This window comes from Homo sapiens, chromosome 11, assembly GCF_000001405.40.
Source record: "Homo sapiens chromosome 11, GRCh38.p14 Primary Assembly".
Lineage (NCBI taxonomy): Eukaryota > Metazoa > Chordata > Mammalia > Primates > Hominidae > Homo > Homo sapiens.
This window is the reverse complement of record NC_000011.10, coordinates 67,613,418-67,630,689: the sequence shown is the minus strand read 5'-3', so window position 1 is coordinate 67,630,689 and position 17,272 is coordinate 67,613,418. Positions and strand designations below refer to the sequence as shown.

Here is a 17,272-nt window from a genome sequence, read left to right as displayed (position 1 = left end):
TCCCCGTGGGATCCCGGCTCCGTACATCCTGGAGCCCCTAGGGGAGGGACGGACCAGTGGGGGCCGGCGGGGCCTCATCAGACACCCCAACGCCAGGACCCAACGGGACCGAGGACGGTCGCCGGGCGCTTCACGGTTCGCGTGGTTTCAGGATCTCGGAGAACACAACCGGCAGGTCCTGCAGCTCCGCGCCCATCTCCCTCCCCGCGGCCACACCCCCGGCCACGGCCCGGCCCTGCCGGAAGCACAGTCCTCCTGGCCACGCCCCCCAGTCCTTCGTAGCAAAAGCTCCGGTCCAGGCCCCGCCCCCAGCCCGCCCCAACCTCGATTGCCTACTAGGCCCCGCCGCCCTTTGGCAGTAACGTCCGAGTCCGGCTCCCGCGCAGGCCCCGCCCCGCCCCGCCCCGCCGCCCTCCGTCCCTCCCATCCGGGGGACTCAACGCGTCCCACCGAGGCCCCGCCTTCAAACAGGCCCCGCCCCCTAACGGACCCCGTCCCACCGAGGACCCGCCTTCAAACAGGCCCCGCCCCCGAACAGACCCAGTCCCACCGAGGCCCCGTCTCCGGGAAGGCCCCGCCCACGAACAGACCCACCCCACTGAGGCCCCCCGACGCCGCTGCCGCTCTGCAGCCCCCCAGGCGGGACGCGTCGCGCGGGCTGCCCCTTCTCCCTCTCAGCTTTCGGAGGGACCCGGGCTGAGCGCCCCGCCCCGCCTCGCCCCGCCTCTTCCCTCGCCCGATCCCGCGCCCTCAGTGTCCCGGCCGCGCAGGACTTGACATGCTGCCCGACTGCCTGTCGGCCGAGGGCGAGCTGCGCTGCCGCCGGCTGCTGGCAGGGGCCACGGCCCGGCTCCGCGCGCGGCCCGCGTCGGCCGCGGTGCTCGTGCCGCTCTGCTCAGTGCGTGGGGTCCCGGCGCTGCTGTACACGCTGCGGTCCAGCCGCCTGACCGGGAGGCACAAGGGCGACGTCAGGTACAGCGGCCGGGAACTCCTCGCCCTTTGCCGGAGGCTACAGGAGCCCGGGGCTGGCAGGGACCTCTGGCAGGGCACTTAGCCCCTTCGAGCCTCGGTTTCCGCCTCCGTAAAATGGGTCTGGGGAGAGTCCCTCCGCCCAAGGGCTGCAGCGAGAGGTCAGCGATCCGTGTCCGTCGGCCCCGGTGCACCTGCCGGGGCGCCACGTCCTCGCCGCGTGGGCCCCTCGTACGCGTCCTTGCGCGCACGCCTGGGCCGGGACACCCCTTTGAGCTGTTTCCCGCTTAGAGGGCGGACGCCGCCCCCTGCCGGCGACTACGGAGAGGTTCGGGCCCCGCCCGGCGGGAATTAAGAACATCCTGAGGACAATGTCAGTGTTGCTGGGGCCACCATAGGCCGAATTTGGGTATCTGAGCCCCAGGATCTTCTTGCCCCTGCTGCAGACCCTCTTATCCTGCGCTGTCCCGGGCCTCTCTTCCTTATCCCCATTGCTCAGGGAGGTAAACTGGCCTCCAGAGGTCGCATGGCTTGCCTGGGGCCTCCCAGTAAACTAGGGGCAGAGGCAGGCGACACTTCGGTGGGCCAGTGGCCCCCCCCGCACTGCCGATACCCCGACCTCTCCGTGGCCCCAAGAGTCCAAGGACCAGACTCCTTGTGTCTGTTTAGTTTCCCAGGCGGCAAGTGCGACCCGGCTGACCAAGATGTGGTGCACACGGCCCTGCGGGAAACCCGGGAGGAGCTGGGCCTGGCAGTGCCCGAGGAGCACGTGTGGGGCCTGCTGCGGCCTGTGTATGATCCGGTAAGCCACTTGGCTGAGGCCACCCCACCCCATTCACTCACTCTGTGCCTGCCCTGGAGCTGGGCTACCAGGGACCAGGAGAGTGGTCATGGACCCCCACGGGCACAAAGTGTGGAAGGGTGCCCCTAACCTGCCTGGTCACATGCACCACCCCACACACCCCCTCGGGAAGGGATTGGGGAGGCTCTGGTGTCCTGAGTAGAGGTGGCCCAGGGCGATGGGGTGGGCCAGCTCCACTCAGTTTGGTGGATTAGGGTCAGGGAAGCTTCATGGGGTAGGCAGGGATTGAACCCAGGCTTGAATGCCAAGTGGGAGATTGTCCTAAGCAGAGGGAACAGGTCTAGTGCATTTGAGGGGACCTGAGTCAGTCAGCATGGCTGGAGGACACAGGCAGGTGGACCCGAACATGACTACCAAAGGCCTATGCATGGCAAAGGGGTCTTCCTCTCACACTCCCCTCCCCAGCCTTCAAACCCAGCGAAGGCCATGCTTCCCTGACCACCTGCCCTCTTCCCCAGCAAAAGGCCACCGTGGTGCCAGTGCTTGCTGGTGTAGGCCCACTGGATCCCCAGAGCCTCAGGCCCAACTCGGAGGAGGTGAGCTGGGGGATATGAGGGGGTTGGGCTGTTCCAGTCCTCTGTCTACCCTCTCTGCCTCCTGCCTGCAGGTAGATGAGGTGTTTGCACTGCCGCTGGCCCACCTGCTGCAGACGCAGAATCAGGGCTATACCCACTTCTGCCGGGGTGGCCACTTCCGCTACACACTACCCGTCTTCCTGCATGGACCACACCGGGTCTGGGGCCTCACAGCTGTCATCACTGAGTTTGCCCTGCAGCTGCTGGCACCTGGTACCTACCAGCCCCGCCTGGCCGGCCTGACCTGCTCAGGGGCTGAGGGTCTGGCCCGCCCTAAGCAGCCCCTGGCTTCACCCTGTCAGGCCAGCTCCACTCCAGGACTGAATAAAGGTCTTTGACAGCTCTAGAGCTCTTGCTTCTGCTGTACTGGGGCCTTGACCTTGGGCAGACCACTCCAGGTCGCTGGCTGGGGCTCCTCCTTCCAGTCACGCCATGCCCCACAGCAATGGACACTTCCTGGGTGCCAAGTACTTGGAGTCAATTCATCTCACCCTCACAACAGCCCATAAGGCAGGGCCAACACTGTCTCTGGCTGGTGAGACTGCTTTCAGGGAGGAGAGACACCTTGCCTAAGGGCCCCACGCTGGGATTGGAACCAGAGCTCTCAGACTCCACAGCCCAGACTCTTAGGCACTGCACTGCCCTGTCTCAGCCTGCACCTCCTGTTCTCTCTGCTGTGCCTGGCTGACGCTGTGCTGGGCTCCGGGATCCCAGAGAGGAGTAAGGCGCACCCATGCCCCTGGGTGTTACTGCAGGAGTCTAACATGCAGAGCCCCTGTGTGTGCCAGCTGCTGTGTGGGGGCCACAGCTGTGGACCGGTCAGATGCTCACCTGCCGTCCAGAGGGGGTGCTCAGTCTAGGGGAGACCTCAGACCAGGTCACACAGATAATCATGTGGTTCCACATTAATTAATCACAGATAATAGTGGAATTATATAAGACATCAACTAGGTAGACCAGGGTTCTGTGAAAGAGCTGAGGGAGCGGGTGGTCTGAGCTTGCCGTGGAGGATGGCTGGATCCAGGGGCTCGGGCTCCCCTCTTGCTGTGCTTTGCGCTGTGCTGGCCTCAGCCCCAAGGAGGTTGTCTGTAGTGCAGAGCGTGAGAGGTTGAGGAGAGGGCAGCAGCATCCATCAACAGAAAACACGGCCGCTCCTTCCCGGCCAGTCTAACCTAGAATTGCACTTCACTGGCCTGCCTTGAGTCACATGTCCTTCCCTGAGCCTGTCACATGGCCGGTTGTGTGTCCGGAATTGGTGGGTTCTTGGTCTCACTGACTTCAAGAATGAAGCCATGGACCCTCACAGTGAGTGTTACAGCTCTTAAGGTGGTGCGTCTGGAGTTTGTTTCTTCTGATGTTCGGATGTGTTTGGAGTTTCTTCCTTCTGGTGAGTTCGTGGTCTCGCTGGCTCAGGAGTGAAGCTACAGACCTTTGTGGTGAGTGTTACAGCTCATAAAAGCAGTGTGGACCCAAAGAGTGAGCAGTAGCAAGATGTATTGCAAAGAGCGAAAGAACAAAGCTTCCACAGTGTGGAAGGGGACCTGAGCGGGTTGCCACTGCTGGCTCGGGCAGCCTGCTTTTATTCTCTTATCTGGCCCCACCCACATCCTGCTGATTGGTAGAGCCGAGTGGTTTGACAGGGCACTGATTGGTGCGTTTACAATCCCTGAGCTAGACACAAAGGTTCTCCACATCCCCACCAGGTTAGTTAGATACAGAGTGTTGACACAAAGGTTCTCCAAGGCCCCACCAGAGTAGCTAGATACAGAGTGTCCATTGGTGCATTCACAAACCCTGAGCTAGACACAGGGTGCTGATTGGTGTATTTACAATCCCTGAGCTAGACATAAAGGTTCTCCAAGGACCCATCAGAGTAGCTAGATACAGAGCTGAAGGGCTCCTCAAGTGCTGCCAAAGTGGGAGCCCAGGCAGAGGAGGTGCCGAGAGTGAGCGAGCGAGTGAGGGCTGTGAGGACTGCCAGCATGCTGTCTCCCCTCAATCAACAGGACACCCCAACTGCTGTTGGGAATTTGGCCGATGACTGCTCTAGCTACTTCCTGCTGGATAGGGGCGAAGAAGGGGCTTTGCAGTTGTAGTGTCCTTCAGAGGGGAACTCTCTAGGCCAGGGGAAGTGCCAGCTGGTCAGTCCAGGGGTCCTCGGTAGAAGTTGTTAGTTGAACTCATTTGGGGTTCCATTTGTAAGACCATCTGTAGCTTGATGGCCTCGATTCTAGAGGAAACAAATTTGACAAGAAGGTTAAAAATACAGGGCCCAAAGGCGAGTAACAGCAAGATGGCTGCCACGGGACCTAGAAAGGGGAGAAGCCATGTTGCCCAACTCCAGAGGTTGGTATAAGAATTTGAAAGGCGTCTGATTTCAGAAGCCTTTTCCTGTAAACGCTGGGTGGCATCTCATGCTATCCCTGACTGGTTAGTGTAAAAACAACACTCTTCCCCTAAGAAGGTGCAGAGTCCTCCTTTTTCAGCAGTGAGGAGATCTAGGCCTCAGCGGTTTTGGAGAGTCACTGCTGCCAAAGAGTCTATTTGGGATTGTAAAGTAAGGATAGATTTCATTATTTCTTCCAACTTTGAGAGGCAGATATGGGTTGAAGATCCACATAAGAGAATATGCCTTGGCTGGGTAGAGAGAAATTTACCCTGGCTTTTAAAGGAATAGGTACACTGTTTTTTCTTTACTACTTCCATCTCTCTCTTTGACTTCTTCTTTGTCTCTTCCTCTCTTTTTTACCCTCTCTTTGACTTTCTGTGTCTGTCCCTCTTTCTCTCTAACTTCTTGTCTCTTCCTCTCTGTCTCTTTCTTTGACTTCCTGTCTCTTTCCTTTCTGCTGCCTCTGCCAGCTGCTTATGCTGCTGTTCTCCCCTCTCCTTCCTATTCTGATGGCTTTGTCAGTGTAAGATTCCCACCTCTTTGTGTTTTTGCATTGCGTGCAATAACTCTATAATTTCCTTGTGGTATTTAATGGGGGTTCCTACAGAGGTTAGGAACTCCCTCTCTTTCCATATTGCAGCATGGGCATGTAGGATTAGATAAGCATACTTGCTATCTGTATACACATTTATTCTTTTTCCCTTTCCCAGTTCTAAGGCCCGGGTAAGTGCCACTAGTTCCGCTAACTGGGCACTGGTCCCTGGGGGAAGAGGCTTGCTTTCAAGTATGGTTACATCACTAACCTTCGTATCCCATTCTCCACAAATGAACTTCCATCAGTATATAGGTTAAGGTCAGGATTAGTTAAGGGGACTTCTAAGAGATCATCTCGGGCGGCATAAGTCTGGACTATAATTTGTTGGCAGTCATGCTTGATTGGTTCCCCATCCTCTGGGAGAAAAGTGGCAGGGTTGAGGGCCATGCATGTGCATATTTGAAGCACTGGTCCCTCAAGGAGTAGTGCCTGGTATCTAAGTAGGCAGTTGTCTGATAGCCATAAACTTCCTTTGGCACCTAGTATGCCATTTACATCATAAGTAGTCTAGACAGTGAGATCCTTTCCTTGTATTATTTTGATAGCCTCTGATGCTAAGACGGCCACTGCTGCAACTACCCTTAAACAGTGAGGCCAGCCTTTTGCTACTACATCAATTTCCTTACTTAGGTATGCCACTGGTTGTGGGGTTGTCCCATGAGTTTGAGTGAGGACTCCAAGAGCTATCCCGGCTCTCTCTCTGACATATAAAGAGAAATTCTGTCCTGTGGGAAGGCTTAAAGCTGGAGCTTGTACTAGAGCCTGCTTTAAGGTTTTGAAGGCTGTTTCTGCCTCTGGTTCCCACTCAACTAGATGAGTATTTGCCCTCTGGGTTTCCTTGATTAGAGGGGCCTGGCTGTCTCGCTGTATCCAGGGATCCATAGTCGGCAAAAGCTGGTAATTCCAAGGAACTCCCTCAACTGTTTTAATGTCTTAGGGCGAGGATAAGCCAGTATAGGCTGTATTCACTCCTTGCTGAGGGCCCTGGTCCCTTTGGCTAAGATTAGGCCTAGATATTTAACCTGCTGTAGGCAAAGCTGGGCCTTCGACATAGACACCTTGTACCCTTGATTAGCTAGAAAGTTCAAGAGATCTAGAGTAGCCTGCTGGCACAAGGCTTCCTAACTGGTAGCCAAAAGTAAATCATCCACATATTGAAGGACCAGAGTGCCTGGACTTGAGAAGTGGCCTAGATCTTTGGCTAGGGCCTGACCAAACAGATGAGGGCTATCCCTAAACCCTTGGGGCAAGACCATCCATGTAAGTTGGGATGTGTGGTTTGTGGGATCCTCAAAAGCAAAGAGGAACTGTGAATCAGAGTGCAGGGGAACACAGAAGAAGGCATCCTTGAGGTCCAGAACTGTGAACCATTCTGCTTCCTCTGGTATTTGAGAGAGCAGGGTATAGGGTTTGGGTACAACTGGATATAGTGAAATTACTGCCTCATTAATGAGTCTAAGATCTTGCACTAGTCTCGGTCTTTGTACTTCCAGAATTGGGGTGTTGCAGGGACTGCTGCATTTCCTTACTAAGCCTTGAGCTTTCAAATGTTTAACAATATTCTGTAATCCTTTATGAGCTTCAGGCCTTAAGGGATATTGCCTTTGATAAGGAAAAGTGGTGGGATCTTTTAACCTGATTTGGACTGGGTGGGCATTTTTTGCCCTTCCAAATTGTCCTTCCAATGCCCAGACTTCAGGGTTGATTCCCTCCTCAAGTAGGGGACAACAAATGGGTAACTTGTTCCCCATATTCATGTAGATAATAGCTCCAGCCTTGGCTAATATATCCCTCCCTAATAAGGGTGTGGGACTTTCAGGCATAACAAGAAAGGCATGTGAAAAGAGCAAAGTCTCCCAATTACAACTGAGGAGGTGGGAGAAATACCTGGTTACAGGCTGTCCCAGGATTCCTTGGATGGTAATGGACCTTGAGGAGAGTCGTCCAGGACAGGAGATTAACACTGAGAAGGCCGCGCCAGTGTCCAGGAGGAAGTCAATTTCCTGGCCCTCAATAGTTAAACATACCCGGGGCTCAGTGAGGGTGATGACATGAGCTGGCGCTTGCCCCAGGCACCCTCAGTCCTGTTGTTGGATCGTCTGGCTGGGGGCTTCTGACCCAGGGAACCTTCATCCTCTGGGGCAGTGCACCTTCCAGTGATTGCCTCAGCATAGTGGACACGGACGAGGGGGCAGCTTGTTTCTCATTGGACAATCTTTTTTAAAGTGTCCCAGTAAACCACACTGATAACAAGCCTTACCAGGTGATTGGCCTGCTTCATGTTCTGTCCTCTCTGAACCACCAAGGTTTGTTTGTCTGAGGGCCATGACTAAGGCTGCGGCCTTTCTCTGATCTCGCTTTTCCTTTTGGACCTGTTCCTCTTGGTCCCTATTATAGAACACCGAGGTTGCCAGGTTTAATAATGTCTCTAGATTTTGTTCAGGGCCCAGGGCTTGCTTTTGGAGCTTTCTCCTGATATCTGCAGCTGATTGGGTAATAAACTTATCTTTTAGAATCAATTGACCCTCAAGTGATTTGGGTGACAGGGGAGTATATTTTCTTAAGGCCTCTCATAGCCGCTCGAGGAAGGCAGAAGGATTTTCTTCCTTTCCCTGAGTTATGGTGGACATCACTGAATAATTCATGGGCTTTTTTCTAATTCTCCTTAGTCCTTCTAGAACACAGGTCAACAGATGTTTACAACTCCAGTCCCCATGATCTGAGTCAAGGTCCCAGTTGGGATCCATACTGGGGATGGCTTGCTGACCGGTAGGGAATTTGTCCCTTTCTACGGCTGTCATTCTATCATTTACTTGACTAAGATACCAGGTATCTCCAAACTCTCGGGCTGCAGCTAAAGCCGCATTCTTTTCATTAAAGGCCAGGGTTTGATCTAACAGTAGCATGACATCTCTCCAAGTGAGGTCAAAGGTTTGCCCTAGACCCTGTAGGACATCTATGTACCTATCAGGATCATCTGAAAACTTCCCCAGGTCTGCCTTGATCTGCTTTAAATCAGAGAGGGAGAAGGGGACATGTACCCGGGTTGGGCCAAATTCCCCTCCCCCTACAACTTGAAGGGGACACAACTGACAGCCCGGGGGGGTTTGTGGTCCTTTGGAGACCTCTTTGCTTATTTCCTTCTGGGCAGGGGAGATTAGAGGAGGATTATCATTAATAGGAAGGGGAGCTATAGGGAGGCTGGGATATGGGGGTAAGCCGAGAGGTCCTCCTTTGGGATGTAAATGGCAAGCTTTGCATAGTTGTGTATTCTCCCTCAATGAAAAGAAAGCTTGGGCATAAGGTATTTCACTCCATTTGCCTTCCCTCTTACAGAAAAGATCAAGCTGCAGGATGGTATTGTAATTTGTACTTCCCGCAGGTGGCCATTTTTCCCCATCAGAAAGAGAATATTGGGGCCAAGCCGCAGTGCAGAAAAAAATGAGCCGCCTCTTTTTCAGGGTTTGTGGGTCAAATTGGTCCCAATGGCTTAGGATGCATTTCAAGGGTGAGCCTGTTGATGCCTGAGTGTTTCCCATCTGAAAGACAAAACCACCCACGGTTTTGGTTTGTTTTGTTTCTCCCCCTGCCCAAGAACCCGCAACAGTCCCTGGACCCTGTTGATCGGAATAGTTGCGCTCACTGACGCAGCAGCAGAAACAACCCCTGCCCAAGAACCCGCAACGGTCCCTGGACCCTGCTGATCGGAATAGTTGCGCTTACCGACGCGGCAGCAGAAACACTAGTTTTCCTCCCAGACCACATGGAGGACCGAGGAAGGTCGGATTTAGTGGTCCTTGCCGACGCATTCTCGAAAACCTGCACCCTTGCCTGTCCTCCTAGACCACAAGGAGGACCGACCGAGAAAAATCGGATTTAGTGGCCCTTACCGACGCATTCTCAAAAACCTGTTAGAGTCCTAAGCATTCTCCTGTTAGTATTGGGACTTTACCCCTGTCCTATAAAGATGTTATGCCCCAAAAATGAAGTGGAGGGCCATACCCTGAAGGAGGGAAGGGGTCTCCAGGGTTGGAAGAGTGACATCTTTTGTCCTAACTTATATGAATAGGAAGGATACAATTTCTGAGGCTCCCCATATCCTAGCTTCAGGAATAGCTTTTGTTAGGCCTGTCAGTGTGAGGAGGGATCCTAAAATTCCAGGTAGTCCCCACTACGATGGGGCTTTGGGCAAAAATTATGTCTTTCTGATTGGTGAGCCCAGGTGCCTAAAGAAGGTAACAGAGTCCTGGAGTTTATACTAGAAATCATTCTTATCGGAGAAACTAGAAAAGCACCAGAGACAGGTAGCAATTTTTAGAAGTGGGTCTAACCTCAGAGAAGGGAGGCAAGAGGAAGTTTGTCTGGCAGGCATTAGGACCCAGGGGGCTAGGGTCAGGATAGATAGGATAGATGGGCGGGTCTCGCTTGGGCGACATGCTTTTGAGAGTTCTGCTCATGGCCGCGGGGTCAACCATCATGTTGTCAGGACCCCAGAGCTGCATGGCCTTCCTCTCTGTCGACCCTCGGCTCAGCCCAGAAGTACAGGAAAAGCGGAAGCTGGTTCTAGGCAAACCAACGGTCCCAACTCCGAAGAGTCGGGGGTTGTTAGAGAGCTCTTTCCCAGAAAGTCTGACACCCATGTCTTTAGTCCAGCGGCCACGCTAGTCACTTTTAACTGGCCGACAGGTGCCTGGTATTTAGCCCCCGAATTCTAAGGAAAGATAGGACAGAATAGCAAGCGAAAGGGGTCCAATGGTACTCACTGCTTGGCGATAGGCAATGGTCTCACCGCTCGGCAATAGGTGATGGTCTCACTGCTCAGCGATTGTCTCACCGCTTGGCAATAGGCGAAAGTCCCTTCATGGTCGCCAAAATGTGTCCGGAATTGGTGGGTTCTTGGTCTCTCACTGACTTCAAGAATGAAGCCGTGGACCCTCGCGGTGAGTGTTACAGCTCTTAAGGTGGCGCATCTGGAGTTTGTTCCTTCTAATGTTCAGATGTGTTTGGAGTTTCTTCCTTCTGGTGGGTTCGTGGTCTCGCTGGCTTAGGAGTGAAACTGCAGACCTTCGCGGTGAGTGTTACAGCTCTTAAGGCGGCGCGCCTGGAGTTGTTCATTGCGCGCCTGGAGTTGTTCGTTCCTCCCAGTGGGCTTGTGGTCTCGCTGGCTTCAGGAGTGAAGCTGCAGACCTTTGCGGTGAGTGTTATAGCTCATAAAAGCAGTGTGGACCCAAAGAGTGAACAGTAGCAAGATTTATTGCAAAGAGTGAAAGAACAAAGCTTCCACAGTGTGGAAGGGGACCCAAGCGGGTTGCCACTGCTGGCTTGGGCAGCCTGCTTTTATTCTCTTATCTGGCCCCACCCACGTCCTGCTGATTGGTAGAGACAAGTGGTTTGTTTTGACAGGGCGCTGATTGGTGCGTTTACAATCCCTGAGCTAGACACAAAGGTTCTCCAAGTCCCCACCAGATTAGTTAGATACAGAGTGTCGACACAACGGTTCTCCAAGTCCCCACCAGGGTAGCTAGATACAGAGTGTCCGTTGGTGCATTCACAAACCCTGAGCTAGACACAGGGTGCTGATTGGTGTATTTACAAACCTTGAGTTAGATACAGAGTGCCGATTGGTGTATTTACAATCCCTGAGCTAGACATAAAGGTTCTCCAAGGCCCCACCAGAGTAGCTAGATACAGATTGTCCACTGGTGCATTCACAAACCCTGAGCTAGACACAGGGTGCTGATTGGTGTATTTACAATCCCTGAGCTAGATACAAAGGTTCCCCATATCCTCACCAGACTCAGGAGCTCAGCTGGCTTCACCCAGTGGATCCTGCACCGGTGCTGCAGATGGAGCTGCCTGCCAGTCCCGCGCCATGCACCCGCACTCCTCACCCCTTGGGTGGTCGATGGGACTGGGCGCCATGGAGCAGGGGGCGGCGCTCATCGGGGAGGCTCGGGCCACACAGGAGCCCACGGAGGGGGTGGGAGGCTCAGGCATGGCGGGCTGCAGGTCCTGAGCCCTGCCCCGCAGGAAGGCAGCTAAGGCCCGGCGAGAAATCAAGCGCAGCACCGGTGGGCTGGCACTGCTGGGGGACCCAGTACACCCTCCACAGCCGCTGGCCCGGGTGCTAAGCCCCTCATTGCCCGGGGCCGGCAGGGCCGGCTGGCTGCGGCGAGTGCGGGGCCCGCCAAGCCCACGCCCACCCGGAACTCCAGCTGGCCCGCAAGCGCCACGCGCAGCCCCGGTTCCCGGCGCCTCTCCCTCCACACCTCCCTGCAAGCTGAGGGAGCCGGCTCCGGCCTTGGCCAGCCTAGAAAGGGGCTCCCACAGTGCAGCGGTGGGCTGAAGCACTCCTCAAGTGCTGCCAAAGTGGGAGCCCAGGCAGAGGAGGCGCCGAGAGCGAGCGAGCGAGGGCTATGAGGACTGCCCGCACGCTGTCACCTCTCAGTTGGATTTACAGTACATTGATGGATAGAATCTGGGATGCTTGCCTGGGTAGGAGGGAACTCCCTGGACTGAGAAGCAGTGGTTCCCAAAGAACAATTGAGGTTCCCACTTTAGACAAAAATCAACTCAAAATGGCCTGTAAAAACCTGAAGTGAGCCAGACGTCATGGCTCATGCCTGTAATCCCAGCACTTTGGTTGGCCAAGGCGGGCCACCGTGACTTCAGGAGTTCAAGACCGGCCTGGCCAATGTAGTGAAACCCCATCTGTACAGAAATACAAAAAAATTAGCCAGGCATGGTGGTGCACGCTGTAGTCCCAACTACTCAAGAAGCTGAGGGGGGAAGATCGCTAGAGCCCAGGGGGCAGAGGCTGCAGTGAACTGAGATTGTGCCACTGCACTCCAGCCTGGGCGACAGAGTGAGATCCTATCTTAAAGGAAAAAAAAAAAAAAAAAAAACCTGCAATGGTAACACTACTTGAAGGAAACATATGGGGAAAGTTCTAGACATTGGTCTGGGCAATGATTTCTTGGATAGGACCCCAAAAGCAAAGGCATCAAAAGCAAAAACAGACAAATGGGATAGCACCCGACTAAAAAGCTTCTGCACAGCAAAAGAAACAACAAAGTGAAGAGAGAGACTACAGGATAGGAGAAAATCTTTGCAAACCATACACCTGATAAGGGGGCTAATATCCAAAAGAAACAAGGAACTCAAGAAACAAATATCCCCATTTAAACATGGGCAAAGGACCTGAACATACATTTCTCAAAAGACACGTGAAAAAATGCTCAACATCGCTAATCGTGAAGGAAATAGAAGTTAAAATCTCAATGAGATACCATCTCACACCTGTTAGAAAAGCTACTACCAAACCATGGGAGACAACAAATGCTCGTGAGGATGTGGAGGAAAGGGAAGCCTTATGTGCTGTTTGTGGGAAGGTAAATGAGCACAGCCATTTTGGAAAATCATATGGCAGTCCCTTAGAACACTAAAAATAGAGCTACCGTGTGATCCAGCAACCTCACTTGTGGGTAGTATCCACAGGAATTGAAGTCAGCATGCTGAAGAGGTGTCTGCCTCCGTGTTCACTGCAGTGCCATTCACAACAGCTAAGACACGGCAGCAACCTGACTGCCCAGCATCAGACGGATGGATAGGATGGTCTGTCTATACTGTTCAGCCTTAACAAAGATGGACATTCTATCATTTGTGACAACATGGATGAACCTGGAGGACGATATGCTAAGTGAAATAAGCTAGGCACAGAAAGACAAATACTATACGGTCTGATTTTTATGGGGAATCTGAAAAAGTTGAACTCCTAGAAGCAGAGAGAATGGTGGTCACCAGGGGCTGGAGAGTGGGGGACTAGGGATGGGGAGAGGGGAGACATTGCTCTTAGGGTACAAAGTTCCAGTCAGGAAGAGTAAGCTGAAGGCCCTGTTGCACAGCATGACAAACATCCCTAACAATAGCGCCTTGTGTATTTCACAGTTGCCTGAAGAGCACATTTTAAGTGTTCTTTTTTTCATTAGCCTGACTGACTCTTTCTACAATGCATATTGTAGAAATTGCATTTCTACACATATCACATCAGAACACCATATTGTACCCCATACACACCTACGGTTATGTTGATTAAAAATTAAAAGAATAACTGGGGAGAAGAGAGGAGAGGGAATGCTGGATGGTTAAAACCAGCCAAGATCCCCTGCAGGGGGTGACCCAGAAACCAAAGGTGAGTAGGAGTGGTCAGGTCAAAGGGCAGGGAGGGTGGCCCAGTTTGGGAGGGGAGCAGGCCGTTACTGTGAGATGCCAAGGGGACACTCCTTGGTGAGGTGAAAAGGGGCCGTGCCTCACCAAAGGATTCAGATTTTATTCCAAGCAGGGGTGGAGGCGGGATGATCTGGTTCATGTTTCAGAGTGTAAACTGGCCACCCCCACAGGGCTCCATCACAGGAGCCCCCTCCTGTGGCTCCCCTCCTCTCCTCCCCAGACCTCCCTCCCCTCCCACCTTCCCATGCACCCCCTCCCCTCCTCCTATGCGCTCCCTCCTTCCCACAAACCACTTATCACCTCCACAGCCCTCTGTCACCTCCGGCCCACCAGCCTCCTCACCTGGGAGCAGGGCCACATGATGGTGGCAAAAATAACTCCCTTTGACAAAGTGTGAAGGGGGCAGAGGGAGGAGGGAAGCTGAGCCCCAGCGCTAGGAAGGAGCTCTGAGAGGGTTCTGAGCTCTGGGTCACCCTCACTCACTGGGGACACAGCAGTCACGGGCTCTGCCCTCATGAGTGCGTACCCACTGCCAGCAGCAGCAACTCACACTGGGTGAAGTAGCTCCCAGAGCGGTAAGGGCCGGGAGCTGGACTGACTCCCAACACACCCAGTCCCCTCCAAAGCCTGCCACAACCCTCCAGGCTGAGGACTCCCCCAGCCCCTCCCTCAACCCTGCGCTCTGTCCTCAGGTCCCTGCATGGTATCAGCGATGCTTCTTCACCCCATTTCCGAGGCCGGGTGCGTTCCCGCCAGCCCCAGTCCTCAGGCATTTCTCTGAGTCTCCGCCCACCGCCCCCCGTCTGGGTCCCCATGGCGGGCACTGCGGCAGCAGGTGGGCAGCCTCCCCGGGTTAGCATGCAGGAGCACATGGCCATCGATGTGAGCCCGGGCCCCATCCGGCCCATCCGCCTCATTTCCCACTACTTCCCGCACTTTTACCCTTTTGCGGAGCCTGCCCTGCACCCTCCGAACCTGCGCCCCGCAGCGGCGTCCGCCGTCCGCTCTGCACCCCAGCTGCAGCCCGACCCAGAGCCAGAAGGAGACTCAGACGACAGCAGTGAGTAGGGGCGGGAAGAGGGGGACACCCTGAGCTCAGCCCAGCCAGGAGGGGGAGTGGGGTGTCCCTACCATCTGGCCATGGAGGGGCAAGGCAGGAAGCACGTGCCATGGGTGGGGGCAGACTGAGCTGAGGTAGGAGGTGACGCTGCCTTCCACCTGCCTCTAGCTGCCCTGGGCACCCTGGAGTTCACACTTCTTTTTGAAGCGGACAACAGTGCCCTGCATTGCACGGCTCATCGTGCCAAGGTGAGGATGGGGGTGGGTGTTCCTGGGACAGAGGGCTGGGGCACGGGCCTGTCTCATACCCACTGTCTGTTCCCAGGGCCTCAAGCCATTGGCCTCAGGCTCCGCGGATGCCTATGTCAAAGCCAATCTGCTGCCAGGGGCCAGCAAGGTGAGGGCAAGCCCCAGGCCCCCACTGCTGCCCTCTGGTGGAACACCCAGCCTGGGGCACCCACTTGGCTCTGCTTGGCTCCTCCCCATCCTGCAAGGCCTAGGTCTCAGTTGCTGGGATGTGCAAATAGTGGGGGGTCCTACCAGGGAGGTAGGGTTGGGGGTTACAGGACGGTCTTAGCCCTAGGAGGCCCTGACCCACCCGGCTTGGGCCCTAGGCCAGCCAGCTTCGGACACACACCGTTCGGGGCACGAGGGTACCTGTCTGGGAGGAGACACTCACCTATCACGGCTTCACCCGCCAGGATGCTGAGTGCAAGACCCTTAGGTGAGGATCTGGCCTGGGCCACCTGGGGGTGGAGCAGAGGGATGGGGCTGGCCTGGCCAGGTCTGACCTGGGCGGCCACCAGGCTGTGTGTGTGCGAGGACCCATGGTACAGCGACAGTGGCAGGCACCTTCCCTGGGGGAGCTGCGGGTGCCCCTGAGGAAGCTGGTGCCAAACCGAGCCAGGAGCTTTGACATCTGTCTGGAGAAGCGGAGGCTGGTGAGTGGGGCTGGAGCACAGGTGGGACTGCAGAGGCCAGGAACCTGTGATGGGGGGAGCTGGAGGGGAGGAACAGGGAGGGGGATCTGGGCAGCATCTGGCCAGGATGACCGGGCTCTCTGCCCTTTCAGGCCAAGAGGCCCAAGAGCCTGGACACAGCCTGTGGCATGTCCCTCTATGAGGTGGGTAGGACAACTGGGCTGAGCAGAGATGAGGGGGCAGGCCTGGTGGCAGGGGCGTAGGGGACTTGGAGGAACCTGAGGCCAGCTCTCATAGGCCCTGTGAGCCCTCATTGTCACAGGGGACAGCCAGGTGACAAAGTGAGGGTGACTCCCTTGCCAGGGCAGCCCAGAGGAGCTGTGGGGCACTGGGACAAGCAGAGTCCCTGGGGGCGCAGCTGGGCAGAGACCTGCCTTGAGGCAGAGGCTGAAACTGGCGGCATTTGTCCACGGCCCGAGATGGGAGGCTGGGCGAGGTGGAAGAGAGGACAGATGGGTGGGGCTCCCTGGCTGGGGTCTGGCCTGAGGGGAGTGTGGGGGCCACTCCTGGGGCAGGCTGTCCTAGACAGGCCCTTGTCCGGAGGCAGTGAGGGTGACTGGCAGGGGTTTGACGCCACTAGAGACCAAAGACCTAGTTAGAACCCCTGTGGTCGGTGGGGGAGGCAGCTGGGAGGCTGAGAGCGGGGCCCTCTACCAGCTCCTCCCCAAAGTGCCGGGTGCCCCGCCCCCTGGTGGAGCCACAAGTTGCTGCAGCTGTCGATTAGCTAAGCCCAAGTGGCTGAAGCCCACCAAGGTGGCATGGACAGGCCACTTCACCCAGCGCCAGCCCCGTGTACCCTCCGCCCCAGATCCCAAGCACAACAGCGCCCGGAGCATGGTGGGTGCCCACAGAGCACTTCCGCATTCCTGAGAACCGCCTGTGAGCAAGGTGGTGGGGCTTTCCGCAAATGGAAACCTACCCTGCGGGTGAGAGCAGTGCATCCTCCCCGGGCTTCCTCCCTGAGCCTGTTCAGAAGCACCAGGGCCCAGAGTGTGACAAACGACACTCAGCATCTGGTCCCCAGGGAAATAGGGGGTGAAGAGGGTGGGGTTTTGAAGAGATCTGCTTCTCCTTGGGAAGTGAACATCCTCTCAGAGCCGCTTGCCTACAGGGGTGGCTACACACACTGGATGGGAGGCCACTTAGGGAGCTACTGGCATGTCAGCCAGTTCGCTTCCCCTCCATGACAGACGTATCTGACTGGTCATGTGGTCAGCAAGCCTCGCCTTTGGTCAGGCCCTGGAGGGTACAGCTGACCCATAGGGCCACTTCCATGGCACTGGGCAAGTGGCTGTATTGGAAATGAAGTCGTTGCCCCCGATTTCTTTGGGGCCAGGTTGAGCTTTCCTGCCCAGAGCACGGAGGCTAAAGGGGGTGGGCTTTGGACTGGATTGGGGCTGACCTCAGCCTACACCTGCAGGAGGAGGTGGAGACAGAGGTGGCCTGGGAGGAATGTGGGCACGTCCTACTGTCACTGTGCTACAGCTCTCAGCAGGGTGGCTTGCTGGTAGGTGTGCTGCGCTGCGCCCACCTGGCCCCCATGGATGCCAATGGTTACTCGGACCCCTTCGTGCGCCTGTGAGTGAACTGGGGTAGGCAGGCGGGAGGTGAGGA

General features: G+C 55.6%; 1 protein-coding gene, 1 long non-coding RNA gene and 1 pseudogene across 4 annotated transcripts, besides 15 other annotated features; 2 read left to right on the top strand and 1 right to left on the bottom strand.

The window, feature by feature from the left end:
* Positions 121–910: a silencer, noted in NCBI's record as "silent region_3648". NCBI's record gives its function as "represses an Ori minimal core promoter by ATAC-STARR-seq in GM12878 lymphoblastoid cells {active_cell/tissue: GM12878}" and the evidence as "EXISTENCE:reporter gene assay evidence [ECO:0000049][PMID:35858748]".
* Positions 753–2,752, top strand: NUDT8 (nudix hydrolase 8). 2 transcript variants are annotated; one of them, NM_001243750.2, is made up of 4 exons: positions 753–972; positions 1,639–1,771; positions 2,290–2,367; positions 2,439–2,752. In NM_001243750.2, the coding sequence occupies exons 1-4, from the start codon at positions 779–781 to the stop codon at positions 2,742–2,744; spliced, it is 711 nt and encodes a 236-aa protein (NP_001230679.1). In that variant the 5' UTR covers positions 753–778; the 3' UTR covers positions 2,745–2,752. The 2 variants fall into 2 exon arrangements, with proteins under 2 accessions (NP_001230679.1, NP_862826.1); NM_181843.3 differs by having other exon boundaries at positions 2,290–2,752.
* Positions 1,201–1,350: a silencer, noted in NCBI's record as "silent region_3647". NCBI's record gives its function as "represses an Ori minimal core promoter by ATAC-STARR-seq in GM12878 lymphoblastoid cells {active_cell/tissue: GM12878}" and the evidence as "EXISTENCE:reporter gene assay evidence [ECO:0000049][PMID:35858748]".
* Positions 1,918–2,212: a silencer, noted in NCBI's record as "tiled region #370; K562 Repressive non-DNase unmatched - State 14:Gen5'". NCBI's record gives its function as "represses a minimal TATA promoter and a strong SV40 promoter by Sharpr-MPRA in K562 cells {active_cell/tissue: K562}" and the evidence as "EXISTENCE:reporter gene assay evidence [ECO:0000049][PMID:27701403]".
* A 544-nt stretch (positions 2,753–3,296) lies between the features above and the next one.
* Positions 3,297–10,751, bottom strand: LOC124902696 (uncharacterized). Its single transcript, XR_007062741.1, has 2 exons — positions 10,154–10,751; positions 3,297–4,636 (listed from the first exon to the last, which is right to left on the bottom strand). It is a non-coding gene; the product is annotated as an uncharacterized LOC124902696 (long non-coding RNA).
* Positions 4,548–5,077: an enhancer, noted in NCBI's record as "H3K27ac hESC enhancer chr11:67393084-67393613 (GRCh37/hg19 assembly coordinates)". NCBI's record gives its function as "activates a minimal SCP1, AML or CMV promoter by ChIP-STARR-seq in naive H9 embryonic stem cells {active_cell/tissue: H9 hESC(naive)}" and the evidence as "EXISTENCE:reporter gene assay evidence [ECO:0000049][PMID:30033119]".
* Positions 8,334–8,915: an enhancer, noted in NCBI's record as "OCT4-NANOG-H3K27ac hESC enhancer chr11:67389246-67389827 (GRCh37/hg19 assembly coordinates)". NCBI's record gives its function as "activates a minimal SCP1, AML or CMV promoter by ChIP-STARR-seq in naive H9 embryonic stem cells {active_cell/tissue: H9 hESC(naive)}" and the evidence as "EXISTENCE:reporter gene assay evidence [ECO:0000049][PMID:30033119]".
* Positions 8,916–9,498: an enhancer, noted in NCBI's record as "OCT4-NANOG-H3K27ac hESC enhancer chr11:67388663-67389245 (GRCh37/hg19 assembly coordinates)". NCBI's record gives its function as "activates a minimal SCP1, AML or CMV promoter by ChIP-STARR-seq in naive H9 embryonic stem cells {active_cell/tissue: H9 hESC(naive)}" and the evidence as "EXISTENCE:reporter gene assay evidence [ECO:0000049][PMID:30033119]".
* Positions 10,796–11,669: an enhancer, noted in NCBI's record as "H3K27ac hESC enhancer chr11:67386492-67387365 (GRCh37/hg19 assembly coordinates)". NCBI's record gives its function as "activates a minimal SCP1, AML or CMV promoter by ChIP-STARR-seq in naive H9 embryonic stem cells {active_cell/tissue: H9 hESC(naive)}" and the evidence as "EXISTENCE:reporter gene assay evidence [ECO:0000049][PMID:30033119]".
* Positions 13,038–13,652: an enhancer, noted in NCBI's record as "OCT4-NANOG hESC enhancer chr11:67384509-67385123 (GRCh37/hg19 assembly coordinates)". NCBI's record gives its function as "activates a minimal SCP1, AML or CMV promoter by ChIP-STARR-seq in primed H9 embryonic stem cells {active_cell/tissue: H9 hESC(primed)}" and the evidence as "EXISTENCE:reporter gene assay evidence [ECO:0000049][PMID:30033119]".
* Positions 13,665–14,178: an enhancer, noted in NCBI's record as "H3K27ac-H3K4me1 hESC enhancer chr11:67383983-67384496 (GRCh37/hg19 assembly coordinates)". NCBI's record gives its function as "activates a minimal SCP1, AML or CMV promoter by ChIP-STARR-seq in primed H9 embryonic stem cells {active_cell/tissue: H9 hESC(primed)}" and the evidence as "EXISTENCE:reporter gene assay evidence [ECO:0000049][PMID:30033119]".
* Positions 14,695–15,210: an enhancer, noted in NCBI's record as "H3K27ac-H3K4me1 hESC enhancer chr11:67382951-67383466 (GRCh37/hg19 assembly coordinates)". NCBI's record gives its function as "activates a minimal SCP1, AML or CMV promoter by ChIP-STARR-seq in naive H9 embryonic stem cells {active_cell/tissue: H9 hESC(naive)}" and the evidence as "EXISTENCE:reporter gene assay evidence [ECO:0000049][PMID:30033119]".
* On the top strand, positions 15,026–17,166 carry DOC2GP (double C2 domain gamma, pseudogene; annotated as a pseudogene). The gene is made up of 5 exons (NR_033791.1): positions 15,026–15,075; positions 15,293–15,402; positions 15,485–15,619; positions 15,751–15,801; positions 17,079–17,166. The product of NR_033791.1 is annotated as a double C2 domain gamma, pseudogene (transcript).
* Positions 15,211–15,726: an enhancer, noted in NCBI's record as "H3K27ac-H3K4me1 hESC enhancer chr11:67382435-67382950 (GRCh37/hg19 assembly coordinates)". NCBI's record gives its function as "activates a minimal SCP1, AML or CMV promoter by ChIP-STARR-seq in naive and primed H9 embryonic stem cells {active_cell/tissue: H9 hESC(naive and primed)}" and the evidence as "EXISTENCE:reporter gene assay evidence [ECO:0000049][PMID:30033119]".
* Positions 15,727–16,240: an enhancer, noted in NCBI's record as "H3K27ac-H3K4me1 hESC enhancer chr11:67381921-67382434 (GRCh37/hg19 assembly coordinates)". NCBI's record gives its function as "activates a minimal SCP1, AML or CMV promoter by ChIP-STARR-seq in naive and primed H9 embryonic stem cells {active_cell/tissue: H9 hESC(naive and primed)}" and the evidence as "EXISTENCE:reporter gene assay evidence [ECO:0000049][PMID:30033119]".
* Positions 15,900–15,969: an enhancer, noted in NCBI's record as "active region_5117". NCBI's record gives its function as "activates an Ori minimal core promoter by ATAC-STARR-seq in GM12878 lymphoblastoid cells {active_cell/tissue: GM12878}" and the evidence as "EXISTENCE:reporter gene assay evidence [ECO:0000049][PMID:35858748]".
* Positions 16,400–16,849: an enhancer, noted in NCBI's record as "active region_5116". NCBI's record gives its function as "activates an Ori minimal core promoter by ATAC-STARR-seq in GM12878 lymphoblastoid cells {active_cell/tissue: GM12878}" and the evidence as "EXISTENCE:reporter gene assay evidence [ECO:0000049][PMID:35858748]".
* Positions 16,940–16,989: an enhancer, noted in NCBI's record as "active region_5115". NCBI's record gives its function as "activates an Ori minimal core promoter by ATAC-STARR-seq in GM12878 lymphoblastoid cells {active_cell/tissue: GM12878}" and the evidence as "EXISTENCE:reporter gene assay evidence [ECO:0000049][PMID:35858748]".

What these genes read in the sequence shown, in the direction of transcription:
- NUDT8 (NM_001243750.2), top strand. Translation starts at nt 779, where the DNA reads ATGCTGCCCGACTGCCTGTCGGCCGAGGGCGAGCTGCGCTGCCGCCGG. An exon ending in AGGCACAAGGGCGACGTCAG is followed by an intron (nt 973 to 1,638) that starts GTACAGCGGCCG and finishes GTGTCTGTTTAG; the next exon opens with TTTCCCAGGCGGCAAGTGCG. An exon ending in TGCGGCCTGTGTATGATCCG is followed by an intron (nt 1,772 to 2,289) that starts GTAAGCCACTTG and finishes CCTCTTCCCCAG; the next exon opens with CAAAAGGCCACCGTGGTGCC.